Source organism: Homo sapiens, chromosome 10 (genome assembly GCF_000001405.40).
Source record: "Homo sapiens chromosome 10, GRCh38.p14 Primary Assembly".
NCBI classification, from domain to species: domain Eukaryota; kingdom Metazoa; phylum Chordata; class Mammalia; order Primates; family Hominidae; genus Homo; species Homo sapiens.
The window spans coordinates 97,737,124-97,761,109 of NC_000010.11; the positions used below are offsets into that span (position 1 = coordinate 97,737,124).

The following is a 23,986-nucleotide window of genomic DNA, read 5'->3' on the forward strand; positions in this document are numbered from 1 at the left end:
GAGCGATTCGCGTCCCGGAAGCGGCGGTGGCGGCCGCGGCGTAGGCGGAGGAGATTTTCGGACCTGCGACTTCCGAACAACCCTGGCAGGAGGAGCGGCGTTCAGCCGGGGGAGGCCTGAAGAAACGCTCCGGGGCCCAGTGGCTCTACCCCTGCTCCTGCCCGACCCTGCCGCCTCCCTCACGGAGCCAGCGGCCGGGTAGGTGAGGTGCCGTCCCCCCGCGTCCCAGTGTCTCCGCAGGCTGTGTGTAGTTGGGTGCTTGGGCGCAGCGGGGGCCGCCACATGCTGGCCCCACGACCTCGGGCATGGCCTTCCCTGTCCAGCCTCACGGGCTCCATCAGGCCCCCCTGGCTGCAGAGGTGTTGGCCAAGGCCAGTGCGGGCGTCGATATACCTCGCCCCTTCCTGGGCTCATACCTGGCGCCGCTCTGTGCCCTTTCGCCTTGGCTCGGCCTGCGGGGATTTCGGGGTCCCGTTGGCCCCTTTGTCCCATCCCCTCACCCTCCCATCAGGTCGCGGCTGATTGCCTGGGACTGGTTTATGTTGCTCTTCGCCGAGGTTCCGCCCCCTCGTTTGCTGCTTAGAGTTCAGGATAGGACTTTGAACTGGGAAAGACCGTAAAGGCTCCTCGGTTTCCTCATCAGAAAGGGCAGACGGGAATGGGGCGTTCTGATGCCGACTGCCCTGGGGCAGAGATGGCCCAGGAAGTTGTTGGGAACCGAAGGGAGTGGGAAGAGTTAGAGGATCGGGCGAGAGTCCTGGAGCACGGTATTTCATTCACTCATTCAGCAGGCATTTGTTAAGCACCCACTGTGTACAGAAGCAGTCGTGAATGGAGGCCAGTTAAGAGCAGGGAGTTTTACTTTGACGTGGTCAGTGCTCTGCACTTGATCTTAGCCACAAGGCCAAGAAGCGATGTGATGTGATAAGTGCTCTGTTAGGGTGAGTACGTGATCCTTTGGGAGCATCGGAGAGGGTCTCCCAGTCCAGAGTTGGGGGTGTTGGCAGAGACTTCCCAGAGTAAGGGAGTGATGTTTAAGCTGATACCTGAAGGATGAGTAGGAATTAACCAGGTAAAGAGTGGGAGAAAAATGTTCCAGGACATCATTTCATTTCAGCCCATGGGCTGCCTCGCTGCAGCGATCATTTATGCTTGGTTTTTATGATTTTTAGTTTTGATGGATCTTTGGGGAAAAGAGCATTGGATGGAGAGTACAAAGAACAGGATTTTAGGTCTGAATAGTTCACTTTCCCTTGCTCACAGGTTTACTGTTGGCACCACCTGAATCTGTAGGTAGAATTGTGTTGAGGACTAGACGTGCAATGCAAATGTTGGGAATTATTATGGTTACAGGATGCAGACATCAGAACGTGAGGGGAGTGGGCCGGAGCTGAGCCCCAGCGTGATGCCCGAGGCTCCCCTGGAGTCTCCACCTTTTCCTACCAAGTCCCCAGCGTTTGACCTTTTCAACTTGGTTCTCTCCTACAAGAGGCTGGAGATCTACCTGGAACCCTTGAAGGATGCAGGTGATGGTGTTCGATACTTGCTCAGGTACAGACTTTGTGGAGTTGCTCTGGTCTGCTCTGCCTTCTGCCGTCCTGCTCTGTAGTAACTAACACTGACCATTTAGGCAGTGGCTGGGCTGTCCTTTCTGCCCTAGTGAGGAGCAGTTCTGGGAGGTCTGTTCGGCCTCTGGGTTTATCTAGGCCTACCCTGTGTCTCAGGCCCAGCCCAGGAGAGGCAGATACTGGGAATGATCCTGCCTTTCAGCAAGGTTCTTCTTTGTGACTGAATAAGCTCCTTCCTCTGGACTGCTGGACAACCTTGAACATCACGCCTTCTACAGCTTAGAGCAGGCTTAATTTTTTCCTTTGCCCCCAATATTAGCATAATTAATATTAAAAAATTAGGGTATAATTTTGAACAAAAATTAAAGAAATACAAAAACCTGTGAATAAGCAGATACCATTTTCACTACTTTTTTTTTTTTTGAGACAGAATCTTGCTGTATTGTCCAGGCTGGAATGCAGTCGTGTGAACATGGCTCACTGTAGCCTCAGCCTCTTCAGCTCAAGCGATCCTCCTACCTCAGCCACCATGCCTGGCTAATTAAAAAAAAAAAAAAATTGTAGAGAGGCTCTCACTGTGTTGCCCAGGCTGGTCTTGAACTGTTGGGCTCAAGTGATCCTCCTGCCTCAGCCTCCCAAAGTGCTGGGATTACAGGTGTGAGCCACTGTGCCCAGCCCATTTTTACTAATTTATTGAGATTATGGATCTTAACTTTTTCCCTCCTATCCTGCTTTGATTTTCATTCTCTATAATTTTCATTTTTTCTTTTGACTCATTTTATTATGTTAAAATTATTTTAAATTACTTATATGGCATTCTACTCCCTAAATATGTCAGTTTTTATCTCTAAATAAGGACATTTCTTTCAAGATCAAAGTAACACCATACCTAACAAAATTAATAACTCCTTGATATCATCCTATACTCAGTTCATATTCCATTTCCTCAGTTGTACCATCTCTTTTGGCTAAATCACATTTCAGTCCAGGAGTGTGCATTGTTTGTACTTATTATGTCTTTTAAGTCTTTTTTCAGTCTAAGACAATCTCTCTCGTGACATTGATTTGCTGAAGAGACTGAGCCTGAACTGACTTTCCTGGAGAATTTACTACCGAGATTTGTCTGGTTTCTTCCTTGTGGTGCAGACTAGAAGTTAGATTTAAAGGTTGGATTTGATTGAAGTTAGAAAAGTGTTTTTTTTTTTTTTTGCAAAGGTAAATGTTGTGCCCCTGGTGTTGCATTGCATCAGGAGTCACACAAAAACCTGATTGTCCTAAAGAGCAGAGGTTTTTAACTTGGAGCCTATGGGTGAGTTTTAGGGATCAGTGAATCCCCTGAAACTGCATGTAAAATTATGTGTCTGCACATGTGTGTATTTCTAGGGAAAAGCTTCTGGTTTTCATCAGATTCTCATAAAGACCCTCAGTCCTCTGAAATACATGAGAGAGACTGGTAGGAAGCAGGGTGAGTGGAGTTACGTTAACCTCTGAGGATGCCATTGAGTATTTATCCATGCCTCAGTCTGGAAATAGTGGATGTTTTGTTACTAGTTCTCTGGCAAAGGCCCTACATTTTTCTTGTTCACCTAATTTATGTCTGTATCCGTAGAGGTGAGCTAGTCAGTGTTCCAGAGCTGTGTTCTCTACTGTAAGATCACTGTGCTCTTCCCACAAGGGGTAGGGAGACAGTATGAGGAGAGGCTGTTTTCTCCTTTTATAATCTCAGCATGATGTGAAGTTTGGTCTTCTTTAGGAGAGAGGCTGTGCCCCCGGCACATTCTTTGTATGTGTGTGTTGCTCTTTGTGGCAAAGTACGAAAGTTAAGTGTATCCTGTCCTGCCCGTCTCCTTTTCCTCTACTAGTCCGTAGTGCGTCTTAGCACACTAATGTGTTAGGGTTTTTCCATTTTATGGAATTAAAAATTGGAGGATGTGGTAGGATTGGTTAAAGCAGGATGCAGGAGGAGCATTGGACTTAAAAGCCCCCAGGAGCCTGCAGTTTCTGTGCTGCTGGGAGAGGGAGCACTGGTCCATGAAAGTGGCTGTCACGTTAGTTTGTGCTTTTGATTGTTCTTTTCTTAGTAAAGAGGATTTGACTTTGAAGAGGGACCTAATCTTGGGCTCTGGCTATTAGGTCTGAAGCCTAGAGCTGCAGTAAATTGTTAACAGACTCTCTCCTGGGATCAGCTACTCTACTGCTTGGGTCTCCTGGGACCAAAGTGTCAGTAAAGACATTTTATAGAAGGGAAGAGGCTTTAAAATGAAAGTGACTTGAGTGGTGGTGTTTTTATTTCCAAAATGGGATTGGCTTTTATTTCGCTTTTACCCTGGTAGCTGCCACTAGAGGTTCTGAGGCGTAATTAGGGTGGTACAGGTGGAGTGTGTTGAATTTCAGGAGAAAGACACAGATGTCATTTCATTCCCTTACTCATAAATTTCATTAAAAAGTAAAAGCCCCTTTACACTGTTGGTGGCAGTGTACATTAGTTCAACCATTGTGGAAGACAATGTGGCGATTCCTCAAGGATCTGGAAGCAGAAATACCATTTTACCCAGCAATCCCATTACTGGGTATATATCCAAAAGATTATAAATCATTCTGCTGTAAAGACACATGCACATGTATGTTTGTTGCAGCACTATTCACAATAGCAAAGACTTGGAACCAACCTAAATGTCCATCAATGATAGACTGGATAAAGAAAACGTGGCACATATACACCATGGAATACTATGTGCAGCCATGAAAAAGGATAAGTTCATGTCCTTTGCAGGGACATGGATGAAGCTGGAAACCATCATTCTCGGCAAACTAACACAGGAACAGAAAACCAAACACCACATGTTCTCACTCATAAGTGGGAGTTGAACAGTGAGAACACATGGACACAGGGAGGGGAACATCACACACCATGGCCTATTGAGGGGTGGGGGCTAGAGGAAGAATAGCATTAGGAGAAATACCTGAGGTAGATGATGGGTTGATGGGTGCAGCAAACCACCATGGCACGTGTATACCTACGTAACAAACCTGCACGTTCTGCACATGTATCCCAGAACTTTAAGTATAATAATAAAAAAAAGTAAAAGCCCTGCATGAATTAGTTAACCTCATTCAGTAACTCTGAAATACTCCAGAGCACAAGAAAATATATTTAGCCCCAGCACGGTAGCTTACGCCTTTAATCCCAGCACTTTGGGAGGCCAGGGTGGGCAGATCACCTGAGGTCAGGAGTTTGAGACCAGCCTGGCCAACATAGTGAAACACCCCATCCCTACTGAAAACACAAAAACTGGCCAGGTGTGGTGGCGTGCCCCTGTAATCCCAGCTGCTAGGGAGGCTGAGACAGAATCGCTTGAACCCAGGAGGCGGGGGTTGTAGTGAACCAAGATTGTGCCACTGCACTCTAGTCTGGGCAACAGAGCGAGACTCTGTCTCAAAAGAAAAAAAAAAAAAAAAAGAAAATACATTCAATGCTTGCCAGCAATTTACCTGTTTATTTTTCTGATGTTTGTCTCTCTCCTAGTGGCTCACCTATATATTGACACTGCCTTTAGAATTTGGGTGTCGTGGCTTCATTGTTGCATCTGTGCTCCTCTTTCCCTACTAAATGTCCTTTATCAGGGACGGAGCCAGCAGCATTTGCTTGTTCTCAGCAATCTGAGTCTCTGGTCTTCCTTGTTCCCTGTTTGGGGGCTTCTGCATTGCCATTTGGTGGTGGTGGTGGTGGTGGCAGTGATGTATCTGTGTTTGCTTCTGTCTGTTCCAGCTCACTTAAGGTGTGATTGCTAAGTGAATGCTGCACCCTACTTTCATCTTGATTTTTAATATATTAAAATAAAATCTTTACTATTGTTTCTCTTTTTGAATTAATAGGTATTCAAAATAAACTCTCAGATAAACTCTCAAATTTTCAAAAACATGGACATAAGAAGATAAAGGCACAAATGGGGCCAAAGAAGTCCACAATTTGTTTTTTCTTGATTTCTGTATTAGTTGAATCTTGTGCAATGATTATATATTCTTATGAAATTATAAAAAAAGAATAGAGGAAAATATTAAGAACATTTGTCAGTGTCACCTCTTAAGGAGAATACAACCTTACAAAACACAGGTTAAATGGTATTAACTGGGTTTCTTAACTGATATTTTATAAATTCTTCTTCCTTTTGGGAGAAAGCACTACAGACCTACCAGTTTCCTCACCCCAGGTGCTAATGTGTGACATCTTACCGCCTCTCCTGGTCACCAGTCCAAGTGAGAGGCCCCCTTTTCGTTTCTCCTTGACCTTCTGTGTTCCAGGCCTCCTCTTCTGGTTTGATGTCCCGTCTGTGCTGCCTGGTCTCCCCTCCCCAGCTGGAGGAGTGACTCTCTGTAGTGATCAGGACTCTCTGTATTGTAGGTGGCAGATGCCTTTGTGTTCCTTGCTGACCTGCCTGGGCCTCAACGTCTTGTTCCTCACTTTGAATGAGGGTAAGAACTGCCTTCAGGGGCCAGTGGTTTTTGTGAACGAATGTGGGGGAAGAACACCTGGATGCAGCCCCACCCTATGTGTGGGAGCTGCTCTTGTTGCCCTGGAGTTAGTGTTCCTCTGTGTCTGCTTGGAGTCAGAAACAGCCTCCAGAGGGACGATCCAGGCTGAGCTGCCTGCTGTGACCTTGGGCAGATTATTGAACTTCCCTGTTAAGGCCTAATTTTCCTTACCTCTAGAGGGAGGATAAAAATGACGCTTTCCTCCTAGAGTATTTGTGAGGAATGCGGCAGTCTAGGCATAATACTTAGCACAGTGCCTGGCGTGGAAGAGGCAGCCAGTGCATTGTAGCTGCTCTCAGTATTATCGTTGTTTCCTTCTTGACTTCCTGCTGAGGATGCATTGACCTTTTTCCATTTTGGTTTTTAAGCTGATTCAAGGGTCATCTGGGGACATGGCATGAGTAAAGGTACTGGGATGAGGAGCTGATAAGGGATTTTTGCCATATCTGTTGCTTTTCTCTGGTTCAGCTAGTGAGCCTAACGGGAGCTGCTGGGCAGTCACCAGCAGTGAGGAGTGGCATGAAGCCTTTGAGATAGAAGTGTGGACACATGGGTGTCTGTTGGGGTCATGGGTAATGTCTTCTATGAACCTCTTACTACAGTGCATACCGTGACCCTACCCTATCCGTGGTTGGCGCTGGCAGATGGCCACATAAAAAGCCAAACCCCTCAGGGTGAGAATAAAGAGTCTGGGACAGAATGTTTGGAGGAGCTGGGCCATTATTCATGTTTTTGTTCTTTTACTTACCTTGTATTTCTCAGGTGTCTTCTTTGTTTCCTCTGGAGATAGGGATTGAGTAGGTTGAAAATAAATCCAGTTCATATAAGATCTCATTTTCTGTTTCTTAGTTGGACTCATCTTTACCTGTTCAAAACTTCCTAGGATGTTTGATTTTTCTATATATGCTCCCAAAGTAAGTCAGTTCCTATGACAGATGTTTAGTAAGCATTTATTATGGGCCCGCTGCTCTGTTAGCTTGTTGTTGGGGTGCCATGTTACATGGAAGAAGTTCTTTCTTTGAATTTTATCTCGGCTTCGCCATTTCTCAAGGCACAATCGTCTGCAGTGTCCTAAAAGCTGAACGAAAGGCTTCTAGCTTCCTTAGTGGCCCAGAGGTCCGAGTGTCAGGCATCAGGAGCTCCTGGCAGTCACACTCCAGCGTGAGCCTCCTCTGTGCTAGCAGCATCTTAAAACGTATTAAAAGTGAGGATGGGGCCACAGCAGTGACCAAAGGGACAAAGTCCCAGCCCTCAAGAGCTTACTTCATTAGAGGAGACAACAGACATGCCTGCAATGTGTCATGTGGTGATAAGGTCTATGAGGAATGAAGCTGGGTTAAGGGGGCTGGAGAGTAGGGGTGAGACACTGTGTCGTACAGAGCTATCAGGGAAGGCCTGACTGGCAGAGCCCTGGAGGAGGTGAGGAACAAGCAGTGGGCGTCTGGGTGGGCCGACTCCTGGTCTTTGCTTACCTGTGTTACCTGCAGTGTTTTTGATTCTGCAGGTGCATGGTACTCAGTAGGTGCCCTGATGATTTCAGTGCCCGCCCTGCTGGGCTACCTTCAGGAGGTTTGCCGGGCACGGCTGCCTGATTCCGAGCTGATGCGGAGGAAGTATCATAGCGTGAGGCAGGAGGACCTGCAGAGAGGTCGCCTGTCTCGTCCCGAGGCCGTGGCTGAGGTGAAGAGCTTGTGAGTATGGAAGAGAGGCCAGGGAGGTGGGGGAACAGTAACAGCAGCCATGACACTAAGTGCTAGCTTTGTGTGCTCGACATCATATTAGGCAAACCACAGCTGTTACTTCATTTAACCTTTTTAACAGTTCCGGGAGGTAGTTAATATTAACATCTTCCATTTATGGGTAAAGAAAAAGGCTGACTTACTTAGCTAGAAAGTGGCCAAGCTGGGATGAGAATCTCGATCTAGCTGTTTGTTTTCACAGCTTCTGTTCTTTCTTTCTTTTTTTTTTTGAGACAGAGTTTCGCTCTCGTTGTCCAGGCTGGAGTGCAGTGACGCAATCTCGGCTCACTGCAACCTCCGCCTTCCATTGGTTTCAAGCGATTCTCCTGCCTCAGCCTCCCAAGTAGCTGGGACTACAGGCACACACCACCACGCCCAGCTAATTTTTTGTATTTTTAGTAGAGACCGGGTTTCACCATGTTTGTCACGATGGTCTCGATCTCTTGACCTTGTGATCCGCCCGCCTCGGCCTCCCAAAATGCTGGAATTACAGGCGTGAGCCACCACGCCTGGCCCTGTTCTTTCTGCTGGAGAGACAGTTTAGGGTCTTGACTAAGCATGTGCATGTATAAGCCACTGCCTGGGTTCAAATCCCAGCTCTTCCATTTACTTGCTGTGTAACATTGGGCAAGTTGCTTAGCCTCTGTGTGTCTCAAGTTTCTCATCTGTTAAATGGAATGATAACAGGGCTTACTCAGAAGGTGGTTGTGAAGATTGAACAGGTGTCTTGTACTGGGGAAGTGTTGAGTAGATATTAGTTATCATCACTACACTGTGGAGAAACTTCGTAAACATGACAGAGCTGGTACTTCTGAGGAAGCATTTTAAGACTTGAAAAATATTCATCTAACAACTTCAGTAGCAGTGGACGTTTACACCTCCCTTCCCTGGAGTGGGGTCTCTGCATTCTCTTGAAATAGAATAGGGGCAAGAAAAGTTATAAACAAACAGATGGCTGGGCCTCACCCCAGAAATTCCGAGTCAGTTATCTGGAGTGGGGCCTGGATATGTAGTTTTTTTAAAAAAGACTTTCTTACTTTGAAATAGTTTTATATATATATACACATATATATATATATATATATATATTTTTTTTTTTTTTTGAGACAGAGTCTTGTTATGTAACCCAGGCTGAAATGCAGTGGCGTGATCTCGGCTCACTGCAACCTCTGCCTCCTGTGTTCAGGCGATTCTCGTGCCTCAGCCTCCAGAGTAGCTGGGATTACAGGCATGTGCCACCATGTCCAGCTAATTTTTGTATTTTTAGTAGAGATGAGGTTTCATCATGTTGGCCAGGCTGGTCTCGAACTTCAGCCTCAGGTGATCTGCCTGCCTTGGCCTCCCAAAGTGCTGGGATTGCAGGCATGAGCCACCGCACCCAGCCTGAAATAGTTTTAAACTTAAAGAAGTACAGGAATAATACCAAGAATGCCTTTTACCCAGATAGAACAATTATTAACATTTTGCCATGTTGGCTTCGTCTATCTCTCTACATATACATATTCTTTTCTTTTTCCTAAACCATTTGAAAGTAAGTTGCAAACGTGACTTAATACTTCAGCGTGTATTTCCTAAGAACAAGGACATTCTCTTAAATATCCACAGAGCTGTAATCAAAATTAGGAAACTTAACGTTGATAACTAATGTATAATTCGTAATCGGATTTTACCAGTTGTATTAATAAAGTTCTTTTTCTTCTTTTATTAATTTTTTTCCTTTTTTCTTTTTTTTTTTTTACTTTTTGAGACGGAGTTTTGCTCTGTCATCCAGGCTGGAATGCAGTGGCATGATCATGGCTCACTGCAGCCTCAACCTCCTGGACTCAAGTGATCCTTCTGCCTCAGCCTCCTGAGTAGCTGGGACCACAGGCACATGCACCATACCCTGCTAATTAAAACAATTTTTTTGTAGAGATAGGGTCTCATTGTCTTGCCCAGGCTGGCCTTGAATTCCTGGGCTCTAGCAATCCTCCTGCTTCAGCCTCCCAAAGTGCTGGGACTACAGGTGTGAGCCAGTGTGGGTGTCCTAATAAAGTTCTTTGTATCAGTTTCCCTGATCTGGGATCCAATTCAGGATTATACATCATGTTTAATTTTTTTATGTCTCTTTAGTCTTCTTTAATCTGGAGCAGTTCCTCAGTCCTTGTTTCTTGTGACCTTGACATTTTTGAATAGTACAAGCTTATTATTTTGTAGAATCTCCCTAATTTTTGGATTGTTTGGTTCCTTGTGATCAGATTTAGAGTGTGACAAGTGATGTGTCATGTTCAGTACATCCGTATCAGGAGGCACCTGATGTCAGGAAATACTGACTTTGATCACTTGGTTAAGGCATCCATACTGTAAATTATCATTTTACTCTTCATTAGTAGTAATTTGAGGGGAGATACTTTGAGACTATGTAAATATCTTGTTCCTCATCAAACATTTATCCACTGCTTTAAAAATCCATTGATGGGTCTTGCCTTAATCAGTTTATTACTATGATGGTTGCAAAGATGATCTTCTAATTATTCTATCGACATTTTTTTAGCTGGCTTTCTACTATAAGGAAGCTCTTTCTTACTATTATCAGTATGAACTCATAGATTTATATTTTATTTGATGAGTTAGAATCTATTACTATCATTATTTATTTTGATCTCAAATTGTCCTAGATTTGGCCAGTAGGAGCTCTTTTGAGTTGGCTCTTGTTTGCATTGGTCCCTGTCATTTTTGAATGCTTCCTTTATGGTACAACAGGATGGTCAAATTCATCTTATACTTCCCTGCCCCAGCCCTGGAATCAGCTTATCTCCATGTTTCCTGGTTTCCCTTCAGAAACCCAGATCTGGGTTCAGATTGTGCTCATGGCTTCTGTGGTTCATCCATGTTTAAAAAAACAACAACCAGAACTCCCCAAGTGAGTCTGTTTCACATCCCAGGTAGAGAATATCATGCCATTTATTCTGACAGCTGCTGTGTACCCGTGAGGTGGGTCCTCTGATCCTCATTTTATAGATAAAGAAGCCACAGCCCTGGAGAATTTCAGTAGCCTGCCTGACATCAACAGTTAGAAGACCAAAGCAGGAACATTTATACTGTTTCCACCTCAGCAAGAGGCTCCAAAAAGGGGACTGAAATGTAGCTGGGGTGGCTTAGCCAGGCCTGTTTCTCCCATGCTCTCTCGACTCCTCTCTCTTTAAGCACATGGTGAGTGTGTTTAAAGAGATTGACCATCCCTAGCCAACTGTACCTGCAAGGCCCCAGGCTCCACTTCCCAGGGCTTCTGTCCTGCCCACTCACCAAAGCCCCTGTGTCTGTAGCTTGATCCAGCTGGAGGCCTTCCTGAGCCGCCTGTGCTGCACATGTGAAGCCGCCTACCGCGTGCTGCACTGGGAGAACCCCGTCGTGTCCTCACAGTGAGTGACCCCTCCTCTCCCGCCACCACCCTATAGGAATTTGCAGCTTGAGCCCGAGCAAAGCCAGCTGCCTTGAGAGGACCTCTGCCCCTCTTACCTCAGGGGAAGAGCTCGCCTCCTGGGCTCTTGTGTGTATATCTGCACATATGCTTGCGGGCTCTAATGTACTGCTTTTGTTTAGATGCTTGCTTTTATGTGTGGTAAAAATAATAATAGAAAAATAACTCACCATATAATCCACCATGCAGCCGAATCTCTTGTTTGTTTTGCCTGCTAGAATTTGTCACATGCATCTACTTTACGGATGTATAGTTTCATAGTGTATGTTCAATTTTTCTTTTGTTTTCCACTTATCATTATATTAAAGATGATTTTCTTTGTTGCTATATAGCTTTTGGAATTATTTATAATACCAGATTAATATAGATGGCAAATATAATTTGTGAAACCATTCTGTTACAGATTTAGTCAATTTCCCTTTTCATTACTAACCCCATGGTAAACATTTTTATGGATTTAGCTTTAATGTTTTAGAAAATTTTTCTTGGAGTAAATTCAAGGATGAAACTACCATATCAAACAGAATGGGTGTTTTTGAGGCTCTTTAATATGAATAATAGTGATAACTAATGTTTGTTGTGTTCACCTGGTGCCAGGCACTGCTCAACACTCCCTCTGTATTATCTCACTCTTATAGTAACTCTATTAGGTAGGCGCTACTTCAGTCCCCATCTTACACGGGAAGGGAGCTGTGCCCAGAGAACCAAGAGACTTCTCAGAATGAGAAGTGGCAGAGCTGGATTCAAATCCCAGTCTGTCTTACTCTAGACTTCAGAGTCTAGACCTTAAGGAGTGATGATGGTTGAACCAGTTTATGTGCCACCAGCTGACACCACTTTGGCCTCACCAGCATCAGGTGTTTGCACCGGTGACTTGGGATAGTTCTCAGTCTTCATCGCCATTTTCCGCTGGTTTGATGAGCGGCTCTTGTCAGTTTATTAATGTGCCCAGAGCTGTGTCTCACCTGGACCCTGCTGTGGGTGTGCTCCAAACCCGTCTCCTTCTGCTGTTACGAATTTCTGATCTTGTGGTTCTTCCCTGTCATCCAGGTTCTATGGGGCTCTTCTGGGCACAGTCTGCATGCTGTATTTGCTGCCACTCTGCTGGGTTCTCACCCTTTTAAACAGCACGCTCTTTCTGGGGAATGTGGAGTTCTTCCGAGGTAAGCCCTGAAGGGCCTGAAAGATGGGGCCCAAGCTGGCTCTGAGGGCTAGGCTAGGCTCCCCAGTTCTTCTGTCTCTACAGCTAATCATCAGTTTGCTGTGCTTCCACAAGTGCAACACCACACTGGGGTCCTCTCTCATGGGCTCTGCATCTCTGAGATGTTAGATGAAGCTGGAATCTCACCAGGGGAGGCTGCTACCATTGGGCTCCCATCTCCCTTCGCTCCCTTCCCAAGGCAGATGAATCACTGCTTATATGATATGATGGCTTCTGGAAGATGAGGGAAGGATGTTTTTCCCAAAGCTGCCACCCATCCCCTGGGGTGCAGCCACCTGGAGTTGCTACCACATCTCTGTGTGATCCCAGAATACCCCTCTGTTGTCTGGCTTCTAAAGCGCTGAGGCAGTCTGGAGAGGCACTGAGTCGCAGAGGCCCGAGTCTGTACATATGTTTGGGTGATTGCTGTATTTGTTTTCCTCCCTGTGGTAGAGTTATTTATTACAGAAGCCATGATTTATTGAGCATTTACTACATTTAATCTCTGTAGCTGTCTGGGGCAGGTGGTGGTATCTAAGTTTTGTTTAAGAGGCTTAAGTTAGGTGACTCGCTCAGAGTTAGGAGGGTGACTCTTTCCTGTAGTGAAGGGAAGAGAGGCCAGCCAGCTGCAGAAGTGGGTACCCCTAAAGTGCCACTCACGGTGTCTCATTTTTGCCTCCTACCTTGTTCTCCATTCCCTGGGTAGTTGTGTCTGAGTACAGGGCATCTCTGCAGCAGAGGATGAACCCAAAGCAGGAAGAGCATGCCTTTGAGAGTCCTCCACCACCAGATGTTGGGGGGAAGGATGGTCTGATGGACAGCACGCCTGCCCTCACACCCACGGAGGTAAGTGCCACTGTCAGGGCAGAGCCTGCTGTGGCCGCTTGTGGGCCCCCCTGTTATCAGCTTGTTTTTGGCTCCTGGGCTGGCCTCTGTTGTAGTTCCTGCTATTTCCCAGGCCTTAACTCCCCTGAAGTGTTCAATAATAATAATTGTAATAAAAACAGCTACTCCATGCTTCACTGAGTGCTTACCCTGTGTCAGATGCTGCTCCAAGTGCTTTATAGATAGATATTCACATCATGGAGTGCAGGTTCTTTCTTTCCTTTTCTTTTTTTTTTTTCCTTTTTTTTTGAGATAAGGCCTCCCTCTGTCACCCAGGCTAGAGGGCAGTGGGGCAATCACAGCTCACTACAACCTCCATCTCCTGGGCTCAGGCAGTCCTCCCACCTCAGCCTCTTGGGTAGCTGGGACTGCAGGCAGGTGCCACCACGCCCAGCTAATTTTTTTGTATTTTTAGTAAAGATGAGGTTTTGCCATGTTGCCCAGGCTGGTCTCAAACTCCTGGGCTCAAGTGATGTGCCTGCCTCGGCCTCCCAAAGTGCTGGGATTACAGGCGTGAGCCACTGCACCAGGCTGGTTATTTCTGAGAAAGAGATCATTCTCATTTGTGGAAGAGAAGGCTGAGGCACAGAGTGGCTGGTAAGTGGCAGGGCTGGGTCTAAGACCCCAGCCCTGTGGTTCTAGAGCTCGTGCCTTCAACCACTGTGCGATGTGGCCACTGTAGGGCCAGCTGTGCTCGTGTTTCCATCTCCCCCGCCCTGCCAGGCTAGAGGTTGCTCCTTCCTGTGAGTTCCTTCTTTCTTGCCATTGTGCCATTTCGTGGTGTTTTGGGTAGCCTGGATGCTGGCTTGGGGAGGTGGTCCTCTGCCTTAGGGAGCAGCGCTGCCATCCTTCTCCTTCTGTCATAGAGTCTCTCTTCCCAGGACCTCACACCGGGCAGCGTGGAGGAGGCTGAGGAGGCTGAGCCAGATGAAGAGTTTAAAGATGCGATTGAGGTGGGTGGCCCTTCCCCAGCATCCTCTACTCAGCAGGCCAGAAATTGGGTGGTCCTGGAGCTGTTTTTTGTTTTTGTTTTTTAATGTCCAAGTGAGAAGCTAAAACTTGCTGTGAGCTAGAACTCACTGGTTGAAAGAGTGCCACTGAACCCCTCCCCACTCCTGTTTCTGGTTGAGCCAGCTGTCCTGGGTGCCCAGGGCAAGAGTGGCTCTGGAAGTCTCCGGGTAATGCCCTGCTAGGGGAGCTGGACGATTTCTGGCCTTTGCTGGAGACCGTGGGCTTGGTGCCTTTGATATAGGAAAGGCAGCTTTTGAGGAGGCTACTGCCCTGGGTCTCCGCTCTTCTGCAGAGTGAGTTCCGTAAGATGTCCCTTTGCGGGGCTGGGAGGGGAGGTTGGAGAAAGTAGTTGCATGGCCAAGTGCTAGGTCAGAGGAAGTTAAACAGCTTTCTTGATTTTAGGATGGTAATTCAAATTGGTAGTTTGCAGAAGTGTTTTATTTGGCATGCAAAGTTTCAAAATAATTTTTTGAGCCAATGTTTAAATATGGAGAGATTTTTATTAGAACTGCAGGTTTCCAGTTTCTCTGGTAGTCCTGAGTCTGCAGCAGTAGGTGTAGCTAAGGAGCTGCTGTCCCCTTTACGCAGGTCACATGCTGTGGCTACAGGTGGTCCTCAACACCCCCTGCTGTATTTTGTCACTGAGGTCAAGTGGGAGTTGCCATTTGTCACATTTGCGTTTTTGTTTTTCTTAGAGTAGGATATCATTTCTCTTTATTTATTTCTCTTTGTAAAGTGGGAAATTGAGATATAAGAAAAACACCTCGTGGATTTCCACCAGGCCTGTGATTTACCCCAACTCACCTCAATCATACATCAGCCCAGGCCATGCAGGCATTTGACTTTCTGATGGCTAAAAGATTGCTCCAAAACTTTGATATATGATTGTAGACCGTGAATCTTGGTGGAGGGAATATGTAGAGCAGGGGTTTTCAAGCATTTTTGTTCATGACCCATAGTAAGGAACACATTTTGCATCTTGACCCAGGTCACACTTAGGTCTATAAAATATGTAAAACTTAAGTGAAACAAAAGTTTCCGGAAAATACGTTGTAAGGGATATTTTCTTTCCTTTTCTGTTCTATTCAAATAAAGACCTACTAAATTATTTTCACCCAGTTTGAGAAACTGTAGTACCTAGCTTTCTCCAAGGCTGTTTGATGCTGGGATCCTCTTGTGGGGGGCGTCTGTCAATGTCACCATTTGGGAAGTGCGCAGAGCTCAGAGCAGCGCTTCCATGCTTCCTTCTGCTTGGGGGCCCCTCCAGGTAGCTTCTTTCTTCTTGCTATCTTTTTCTTTCTGTTTTCTCTCCTCTTCCCCGCACCTTGGGAGGCAGGAGACCCACTTGGTGGTGCTGGTAAGTGGAAGCCTTGGTGGGTGGGCAGGGGCTGGGCTGGGGAGGGTGGCTGAACCGGCTGCTGCCACACCTCGTGGGGGCTGCCGCGCAGGATGCCTCTGCACACGGGTCCTGCAGCCTTGCAAGAGGTGGGCAGGACTGGAAGGAGCTGTTCCCACAGGAGGATGATGAGGGCGCCCCGTGCCCAGCAGAGGATGAGCTGGCCCTGCAGGACAACGGGTTCCTGAGCAAGAATGAGGTGCTGCGCAGCAAGGTGTCTCGGCTCACGGAGCGGCTCCGCAAGCGCTACCCCACCAACAACTTCGGTGCGGCCAGGGGACAGGGCTGGGCTGGTGGGGGAGTGGGGGTGGACTTCTGGGACTCTAGTGGGGAACACCCAGCCACAGGGGCAGAGTCTCAGAACTGTGGGTACTGACTTGTGACAAGAGCAGGGAGTGAAGGTGTGTCCGCGGGACCCCGGGGAGCTAGCAGATGCCCGGCAGGACTGCTGAGGGAGTGGGTGTGGGTTCCTTCTTGTCCCTCCATCCTGATTGGACATTCAGTTGTGGGAAGACAAGGAACTCAGTTTGGGAAATGCCATCCCAGGACTGTAGAGAACCATAATCCTGACAGAACTTCAGAAGGCAGTGTAGCATGATGGTGAGGAACAGAGTAGAGTCTCACTGCCTGCTGCAAATCCCAGCTCAGCCAGGTGTCCTTGAGCAAATTATTTCACACCCCGTGCCTCAGTTTCCCCTTCTGTAAAAGGGGGATCATCATTCTTACCTCATAGGGTTGTTACAGGTCTCATGTCAAATGAGACAGTAGTACTTACGAAGGGCTAGCACAGTGCTGGTTGGTTCATAGTAAGTAGTGGGTGCGGTTAATGTGGGAGGCCCTGACCCACGCTGTGGGTTCCTAGGATCCTGTCTTGGTCTTTCTTATCCAGCTGGAAGCAAGTTGAAGCAAACATTGTTTCTCTGGACGTGATAGAGCCCTGAGTTCACCTCTCCCCAGCCAGTCCTTATTTTACTGAGGGTCGGGGGAGAGCGGTCAAGGAAGGCAGCTTTGGAGAAGGGTGGACTTGACAGCACAGCTTAGAGACCTGGCTCAGATCAGCAGCGCTGAGAGCTGAGCCACATACAATTATGGTGGAAACCTAGAGTAGCTAGGTTGACCTGGGAGCTGCTGTGCTCCTGAGGAAGGGCCCTCCTGCCTGCTGTCAGATGGGAGCAGGGTAAGGGGGCAGTACTGTGTGTTCTGGTGTTGAGTGAGTTCTAGGGTCTGTGCCCTGGAAGAAGACAATGGAGTTTATCTTGAGGAATTTGACTCAGGGCCCCCAGGGTCCTGCCTTCCTACCCCTGCAGCAGCCAGGGCAGTTGTTTTCTCAGGATTAGATGTCCTGGACAGGCTCTTTCTTTCTGCTGTGTGAATGTCCCCCAGTTATTCAAGATCCCTTTTTTTTTTTTTTTTTGAGACAAGGTCTCACTGTGTCTCCCAGGCTGGAGTGCAGTGGCATGATCACAGCTCACTGCATCCTCGACTTCCTGGGCTCAAGTGATCCTCACAGCTCAGCCTCCCGAGTAGCTGGGACTACAGGCATGTAGCACCATGCCTGGCTAATTTTTGAATTTTTTTTGTAGAGACAGGGTCTTACTTTGTTCCTCAGGCTGGTCTTGAACTCTTGGGTTTAAGTGATTCTTGTACCTTGGTCTTCCAAAGTGTTAGGATTACAAGTGTGAGCCACCACGCCCGGCCCCTTTGTTTTATTTATGCTGCCTGCTGACTTCTGCAGGGCATTCTGTATGTTCAGTGATCTGTTTACCCTCCATACTTGCACATGTGTGATCTCATTTCATCCTTACCGTAGGTGTGACAGGAGCAGGCAGTTCTTAAGGGTTCAGAGCAGCCAGATTCCAGCAGTGCCCGGTAACACTACACACAAGAAGTATTACTCTGGTCCAGCAAATAATTTGTCTATTTCTACAACTTCTAAGTAAAGGTACTTAGCTGTTCCCATTTTACAGATGAATAACCTGAGGTAAAAAGAGTGCTTTGCCCAGAGACTTTGGCCTGGAAATGGTGGAGCTGTGACTCAAATTCAGGTTGTCTGATTCGGCTCTTGTCTTCTTTCTACCTCTTCATCCTCCCTCTCTGTTTTCCCTTTGCCCTTGCGTGTGAAGTCCCTTGTTTTATGCCTGTCCCGCTTTTGTATTTGATTTTTGGTTTGGATAATCTCTACCAGCATGGGCAGAGGCCTTTTCAGCCTCCCTCAAGGATGGCAAGGGCAGAAAGTGCTTCTTTTCCTAAACTCCTCTTAGTTCCTCATCCTTCAAGACCACTTGCTACTTTCCCTTTTCTGAGATGTTCCCAAGCTCTTTGCCATGAGGGCAGGTGTAGCAGCTCTGCTCCTGCGGCCTCTGCTCCTGAACCTGGGTCCTGAGAGCAGGGCGAGGGGAGCTGCTTTGGGGGCTTTCTCCATTTCAGCGACTATAACGAAATACACTAAGCTGGGGGGCTTTTAAATAATGGAAATCTCTCATCACAGTTCTGGAGGCTGGAAGTCCAAGATCAGGGTGTCAGCAGGATCAGGTTCTGGTGAGGTCCATTTCCGTCGTCATAGACAGCACCTTCTCACTGTGTCCTCATGAGAAGGTGGGAGGGGCACGGCAGTTCTCTGGGGCCTCTTTTATAAGGGCACTAATCCCATTCACGAGGGCTCCACCCTCATGACCCGGTCACCTCCCAGGGGCCCTGCTTTGGGTGTTAGGATTCCACATGTGAATGTTAGGGGACTGTGGTGGGGGCTATTCTATTTACCCCTGCCAGTGGATGAGGGGGTGCATGGGGAGAATGAGGGCAGACTGCAAAGGAGCTTCTCTGTGGCCTCCGTATGGGAGAGGTCTTGGTGGGGAGGGCCCCCCTTTGTCCTGGAGGCTCCATGACTGTTGCCCTGGCAGGCCCCACTGGGCCTTAGTGCCCCTGCTGTCATGGCCTCGGTGGCATCGTCACGTGGTGAGTGAGGATGGGTGAGTCCAGGCTGTTGCTGAGAAGGGGCAGAAAGAGTTGGTAGGTGTTGGAAGGGAACGTCACCTGGCTGAGCTGCTCTCAGCTCCCAGAGCCCTCCCTGGCTCCGGTCTGTGAGTGGGTTCACAGCTGTCTCCCCAGCCCACTTGGCTGCCCTGGGGTGCTTGGCCCTGACATTCCATTCAGTTTAGAGGAGACCTTGGGCTCAGGTCAGTGTCAGTCTTTGAGTAGCTCCTTTTGCCTGTCCCATTCCCCTTGTGTCCCTTGCTAAGGAGAGGCTGGGGCAGGCTGCCTTCCCCAAATTCTTGGTGTAGGGACAGAATCTTGGAGCAGCCAGTTTCCTGGTTTGGCACCAGCAGTAGGCTTGTTCTTCTCTTTCCCTGGCTGACTGACAGGGTGGGCATTTACCTGAAGCACCTTGGCCTCAGATTTCCCCTGGCTCTAGCAGAGGTCTTCCTTTCCCTGAACCTAGGGAGTCTCCTTTAGCAAGAACTTCAGGTGATTTTGGCTGGACAGAGGAAGGGACCACATGTAGCCGTCAATAAAGCTTTGGGGCCTTTCTGTGAAAGTGAGGCCTGGTGCTCTGTACTTGCCCAGACAGGTGGTCCGGCTGGGTCATAGCAGGCCTATGGGCCCCACATCCCAGAAACCTCATTCTCTGTCTCTCCTCTCCCCTTACACCCCCTTGTTGTCTTCTAGCCATTTTCTAAGCTGCCGTTGCCCCTCCACTGTTGCCGGGCACTTGGCCATCTTGGCATCTCTGGTGGTTTAGGCAGGACCTCTCCCTGCTCTGCGTCCCCCCATGCCACTCACTGCCCACCACAATTGAGCATTCTACCCTTCGTGTCTTTACAGTTGAGCATTCTACCCTTCATGTCTTCTTGGAATGTGCCTGGCTCTGAGTTTCTCTCCTGCAGTCTTCAGGGGACAGAAAGCAGGAGTTTAGGTTTTTAGGAGTTTCTGTCTTTAGCCTGTGGGTGGAGTATTTGTAAGGCATTGCTCCGGAAAGGGTCATGTTAGGCAGGTGTCATTTGGGGATGCCTGTGGTCAGGTCCCTGCCAGCTTAGCTGGCTTTCTTGGAGTGGATTCTGCTGGGTGCTCTTTGATTTCTGTTGAACCTGTAGGTAGGGCCACTCAGCTCTGGAAGGGTTCAGGGACTGGTAGCTATGTATGGCTGGAGACATCAGTCCTCAGGGGCTATCAGTCTTCTTAGTTTGAGTCCTTCTTTCTGTCTCTGAATCTGGCCTTGCTCCCTGGCTCACTGTGTCCAGCCAAGGAGGCTGGGCTGGTGTCCTGAGTGTCCCATTTAGAAGCGCCAGGAGCAGGTGAGCGTGAGAGTCCTGGGATGGGCGGGGGTTGAGCTGCTGCCTCTGTTTCTCAGGGAACTGCACGGGCTGCTCGGCCACCTTCTCAGTGCTGAAGAAGAGGGTGAGTGTCTGTGAGGGTGCATTTGTTGGGGACAGTGTCCTTGGGACTGTCGGGTGGGGAGGAGTTGAGGGGAGTCATTGAGAAAGTCTGGCTCGGGTCACATTGGGCCTGGCAGTGGCTTTCTGGAGTGAGTGTGCCCTCCCCTGCGCCTGTGCCACCTTTTACCAGCCTCCCCAGGGGGTATTCCATTTGCTCTCTTTCCTGCTCCACTTGGGCACCCCCCAGGCCCAGTTTCCTTGGGTGGGATCAGCTGGTGGAAAGGAGGGAGGTGCTGAGAACTCCAGGTACCTGAGGGTGAGGGACACATCTGACCTTGGCTCTTGTCTGCAGCGGAGCTGCAGTAATTGTGGAAACAGCTTCTGCTCTCGATGCTGCTCCTTCAAGGTGCCCAAGTCCTCCATGGGGGCCACAGGTGAGTGGTGCAGGTGGTGGGAGGGCTTGGTTGGTATCCCGCCCAGGGGATGTCACGCTGTGGCACAGAGGCAAGGGTGTCAGAGGTCAAGGGAACTTGGGATTGTAGTCAGGCCTACGGGAACGTTTCCTCCATCCCCTTTAGCAAAATCCTGAAACATTTGGTACATGCCGAAGAATAGATATGATGTACCTGTGAATTGTGAAGGGTAATAACAAGATGAATACCTGTGGCTGCTTCACTAAAGTTGAAAAACAAGAGCCCTGGCAACACCCCCGCAGCTCCCAGCACTGCTCCTGCCTTCCTGGAGTCAATCACCAGCCGCAATTTTAATCTTTTTCTTATTTCCTTGGCACTTTGAACAAAACTAAAAATTCCTTTTTTTCCTTTTATAAAATATAAAATATTTCCTATACATATTGTAAATAAAAAACACAGATAAGCAAAAGGAAAAAAAATTCCTGATTTCTTCCTGAGAGAACAATCGGGCATGGACCCTGCTGCTCATTAGCTTGCATGTAGAATAAAAGCACATGCATATTCCTGAAAAATGTGGTCACATTTCATGTACCGTTTTGTAGTATAATGTTAAACCAAGTTTTTTTTTTTTTTTTTTTGAGACGGAGTTTCACTCTTGTTGCCCAGGCTGGAGTGCAGTGGTACGGCCTTGGCTCACCACAACCTCTGCCTCCTGGGTTCAAGCAATTCTCCTGCCTCAGCCTCCCGAGTAGCTGGGATTACAGGCATGCGCCACCACACCCGGCTAATTTTGTATTTTAGTAGAGACGGGGTTTCTCCATGTTGGTCAGGCTGGTTTTGAACTCCTGACCTCAGGTGATCTGCCCGCCTCGGCCTCCCAAAGTGCTGGGATTACAGGCGTGAGCCACCGCCCCCAGCCCAAGTTCTTTTTTCTTCCGATGCAAGTAACATATGCTTACTAACTAGAAAATTTGGAAATTATTATACAGAGGACGAAGGAAGAGAAAAATAACCCTGTAATTTTACCACCCAGAGGTAACCACTGTTAAAACATTTTGGGAAATTTCACTGTGATATTTTACTTATTCTGTTTTTTTGAGACAGAGTCTCGCTCTGTCGCCCAGCCTGGAGTGCAGTGGCGCCATCTCGGCTCACTGCAACCTCCGCCTCTTGGGTTCAAACAATTCTTGTGCTTCAGCCTCCTGAGTAGCTGGGATTACAGGCGTGCATCACCATGCCTGGCTAATTTTTGTATTTAATATTTTATTTAAAAATTTTTGAAGGTGTTCTGTTGGTGCCACAATAATGTCTAATTCATAGCACAGGAGTGGCCTGCTGTTGGCATCATCACCCCCAGGATCCCCAGTTCCCATGGAAAGAAGAATCTCTGCGGGCAGGCTAGCAAGCTGGGCAGGGAGGGTGTGGGCTGGGTGGGGGGTCTGTGTGGGGCATTTGGGAGGGTGCTTCTAGTAGTTGGGGCCATGAACCAAAGGGCGCAAGGAAATGTCTCACCAAGTTCTTCCTCCTTTTCAGCCCCTGAAGCCCAGAGGGAGACTGTGTTTGTGTGTGCCTCGTGTAACCAGACCTTGAGCAAGTGAGAAGAGAGGCCAGGGTCCAACCAGGCACCCGTCCTTGGGACCAGCAGTAGACCCCCCACTCTCCCCACCCCTGGCCCACTGTGGTGTGTGCTGGGCAAATGTGGCCTGAATGCTAGGTAGGCTTCCCCTTCCTTCCTCACTCTCTCCAGCTGGATTCTGGAGCTGTTCTCCATCCATGAGAGTGGCTGGCAATGGCTGCTCTCAATCCCTTGAGGGAGAAGAGCCCCTGGAGGGCCTGGCATGTTTGTCCTGCTCTGCCTGGGACTGAGCGAGTGGACTTAGGGCTGGGCAGGCAGTAGCCACCAGAGGGCAGCAGCGAACTAGGCCAGGCCTGACTGGGGTCTGAAGATCAGGGTCAGTGTGGCTGTGCCTGGGAATTCCAGACCTGAGGTTGGGAAAAGAGGTTTTTCTCCTGCAGGGTACTGGGCCAGGCCCTCAGCCTCAGAGAGCCTGCAGAAGGGCTTGGGAGTGCCACACCCCATCTCTGCTGATTGAATGTCCCTCCAGGCACCAGGATCTCATCATTTCCCCATCAGAGGGTGTGGCCAGGCCTAACAAGACCATGGGTGCTTCTAGAAACAGGGTTGAAGTTCCCAGATTCCCTGAGAGGAGAATGTGTATAGGAGGGTTTGGCTGAGTCCTTCAGCGTTAAGTGGAGGAAAGCTTGGGGAAGCCCCAATAGCTGGACAGACCTCGGCCTCCCCTCGAAGACACCTCAATTCACAGACTCTCAGCCCACACAATGCCCCAGTGTCCCCAGCTCCGCTGGAGCAGCTGCAGGGCACTTGGATCACAACTTCTGCACCCTCTGTCCAGAGTCTAGGGCAGTCCTCCACTGGCCCAGCACTCCAGTTTCCTTTCCCTGCCTCTTGTCCAATGGAGTGGGAGGCCAGGTGAGTGGAGCAGAGGTCCTGAAGCCCTTGACCCCTGGGGGCCTGGGTAGTGTAGGATCTCGCTGGGCTGGGTCCTGGATTCCAGGGCTATTCCCTGGAGGACAGTCTCAGTTATGGGATAAGGCCCCCTGGGGGTCTCCATTTCTTTCCAACAGTTTCATGTTCACTACTGGACTCTTACGGGCTCAGTATCTCTCCCTTAGCCATGAGCTGGCTCAGGCATCCCTTCCCTTCCCTGGAGCTGCCCTGCCTTTCTCAAGTATTTATTTATTTATTGCATGGTTCCTGGGAACATGTGGCACAAGTAATGGGATGAGGAGGAATTGGGGGTGGGGGTCTTCTACCTAGGACTCTTCCCTGGAGTCATGGGCTGCCTGGGACCCAGGACCCATGAGGGGGCTGAGAGGTTTCTACACTCGAGGAGCAGGGGTCCAGAGAGGCAGGCTGGGGAGGCAAGGGACCCATCCTAGGCCCGCTTTCTTGCCGAGCCAAGCAGCTTAGCTGGGGCTGTGCAGCCAGGGGCTTACCCAGGCCAGTGGAGGTGCCACAGCCCTGGGGAGCCAGACAGGCTTTGGTATCGTATCGCCTCTGTGTCCTTTTAAGAGAGGAGAGTTCAGTACCCCGTGCTTTCTTTACACTGGAGAGGAACTAAAAGGATCTCTGTGTCTATGGAGAATTGTCAATAAAAAGGCCTCAAGCTTCTTGTTTTTGTCATGTCTTTGTGTTGGCATTTTCCCTGAGGCTGGAAGACCAGATCTCTCTGGCACTGCTGGAGTTTTGCAGGCCTGGGCAATTCCTGCAGGACCAGGCTGAGGGGCGGGCCTTTGGGGCACCATGGTGGCAGGGGCGTGGGGGCTGCAGCCTGGTCTGGGTATGAGCTGGGGGCCAAGAGGAGGAAAGCTGTGCCTTGCACGCA

General features: G+C 48.6%; 1 protein-coding gene across 70 annotated transcripts, besides 3 other annotated features; it reads left to right on the forward strand.

Annotated features, from left to right (window-relative positions):
• ZFYVE27 (zinc finger FYVE-type containing 27) lies at positions 5–23,772 on the forward strand. 70 transcript variants are annotated; one of them, NR_169808.1, is made up of 13 exons: positions 5–202; positions 1,354–1,551; positions 5,971–6,041; positions 6,470–6,508; positions 7,606–7,781; positions 11,146–11,241; positions 12,351–12,463; positions 13,208–13,347; positions 14,268–14,339; positions 15,915–16,059; positions 20,142–20,188; positions 20,519–20,600; positions 22,113–23,772. NR_169808.1 is itself a non-coding variant. In NM_001385876.1 (13 exons), exons 2-13 carry the CDS (start codon positions 1,355–1,357, stop codon positions 22,175–22,177), a joined length of 1,269 nt encoding a protein of 422 aa, NP_001372805.1. In that variant the 5' UTR covers positions 5–202; position 1,354; the 3' UTR covers positions 22,178–23,772. The 70 variants fall into 70 exon arrangements, 52 of the variants coding, with proteins under 52 accessions (NP_001372805.1, NP_001372800.1, NP_653189.3 ...); NR_169805.1 differs by lacking the exon at positions 6,470–6,508 and adding an exon at positions 17,604–17,735 and having other exon boundaries at positions 7,606–7,792; NR_169801.1 differs by lacking the exon at positions 6,470–6,508 and adding an exon at positions 17,604–17,735 and having other exon boundaries at positions 5–198; positions 7,606–7,792; positions 14,253–14,339.
• Positions 201–270: a silencer, noted in NCBI's record as "silent region_2686". NCBI's record gives its function as "represses an Ori minimal core promoter by ATAC-STARR-seq in GM12878 lymphoblastoid cells {active_cell/tissue: GM12878}" and the evidence as "EXISTENCE:reporter gene assay evidence [ECO:0000049][PMID:35858748]".
• Positions 22,395–22,444: a silencer, noted in NCBI's record as "silent region_2687". NCBI's record gives its function as "represses an Ori minimal core promoter by ATAC-STARR-seq in GM12878 lymphoblastoid cells {active_cell/tissue: GM12878}" and the evidence as "EXISTENCE:reporter gene assay evidence [ECO:0000049][PMID:35858748]".
• Positions 22,917–23,416: an enhancer, noted in NCBI's record as "H3K27ac hESC enhancer chr10:99519797-99520296 (GRCh37/hg19 assembly coordinates)". NCBI's record gives its function as "activates a minimal SCP1, AML or CMV promoter by ChIP-STARR-seq in naive H9 embryonic stem cells {active_cell/tissue: H9 hESC(naive)}" and the evidence as "EXISTENCE:reporter gene assay evidence [ECO:0000049][PMID:30033119]".

What these genes read in the sequence shown, in the direction of transcription:
- ZFYVE27 (NM_001385876.1), top strand. Translation starts at nt 1,355, where the DNA reads ATGCAGACATCAGAACGTGAGGGGAGTGGGCCGGAGCTGAGCCCCAGC. An exon ending in GGGACATGGCATGAGTAAAG is followed by an intron (nt 6,509 to 7,605) that starts GTACTGGGATGA and finishes TTGATTCTGCAG; the next exon opens with GTGCATGGTACTCAGTAGGT. An exon ending in GTGGCTGAGGTGAAGAGCTT is followed by an intron (nt 7,793 to 11,145) that starts GTGAGTATGGAA and finishes CTGTGTCTGTAG; the next exon opens with CTTGATCCAGCTGGAGGCCT.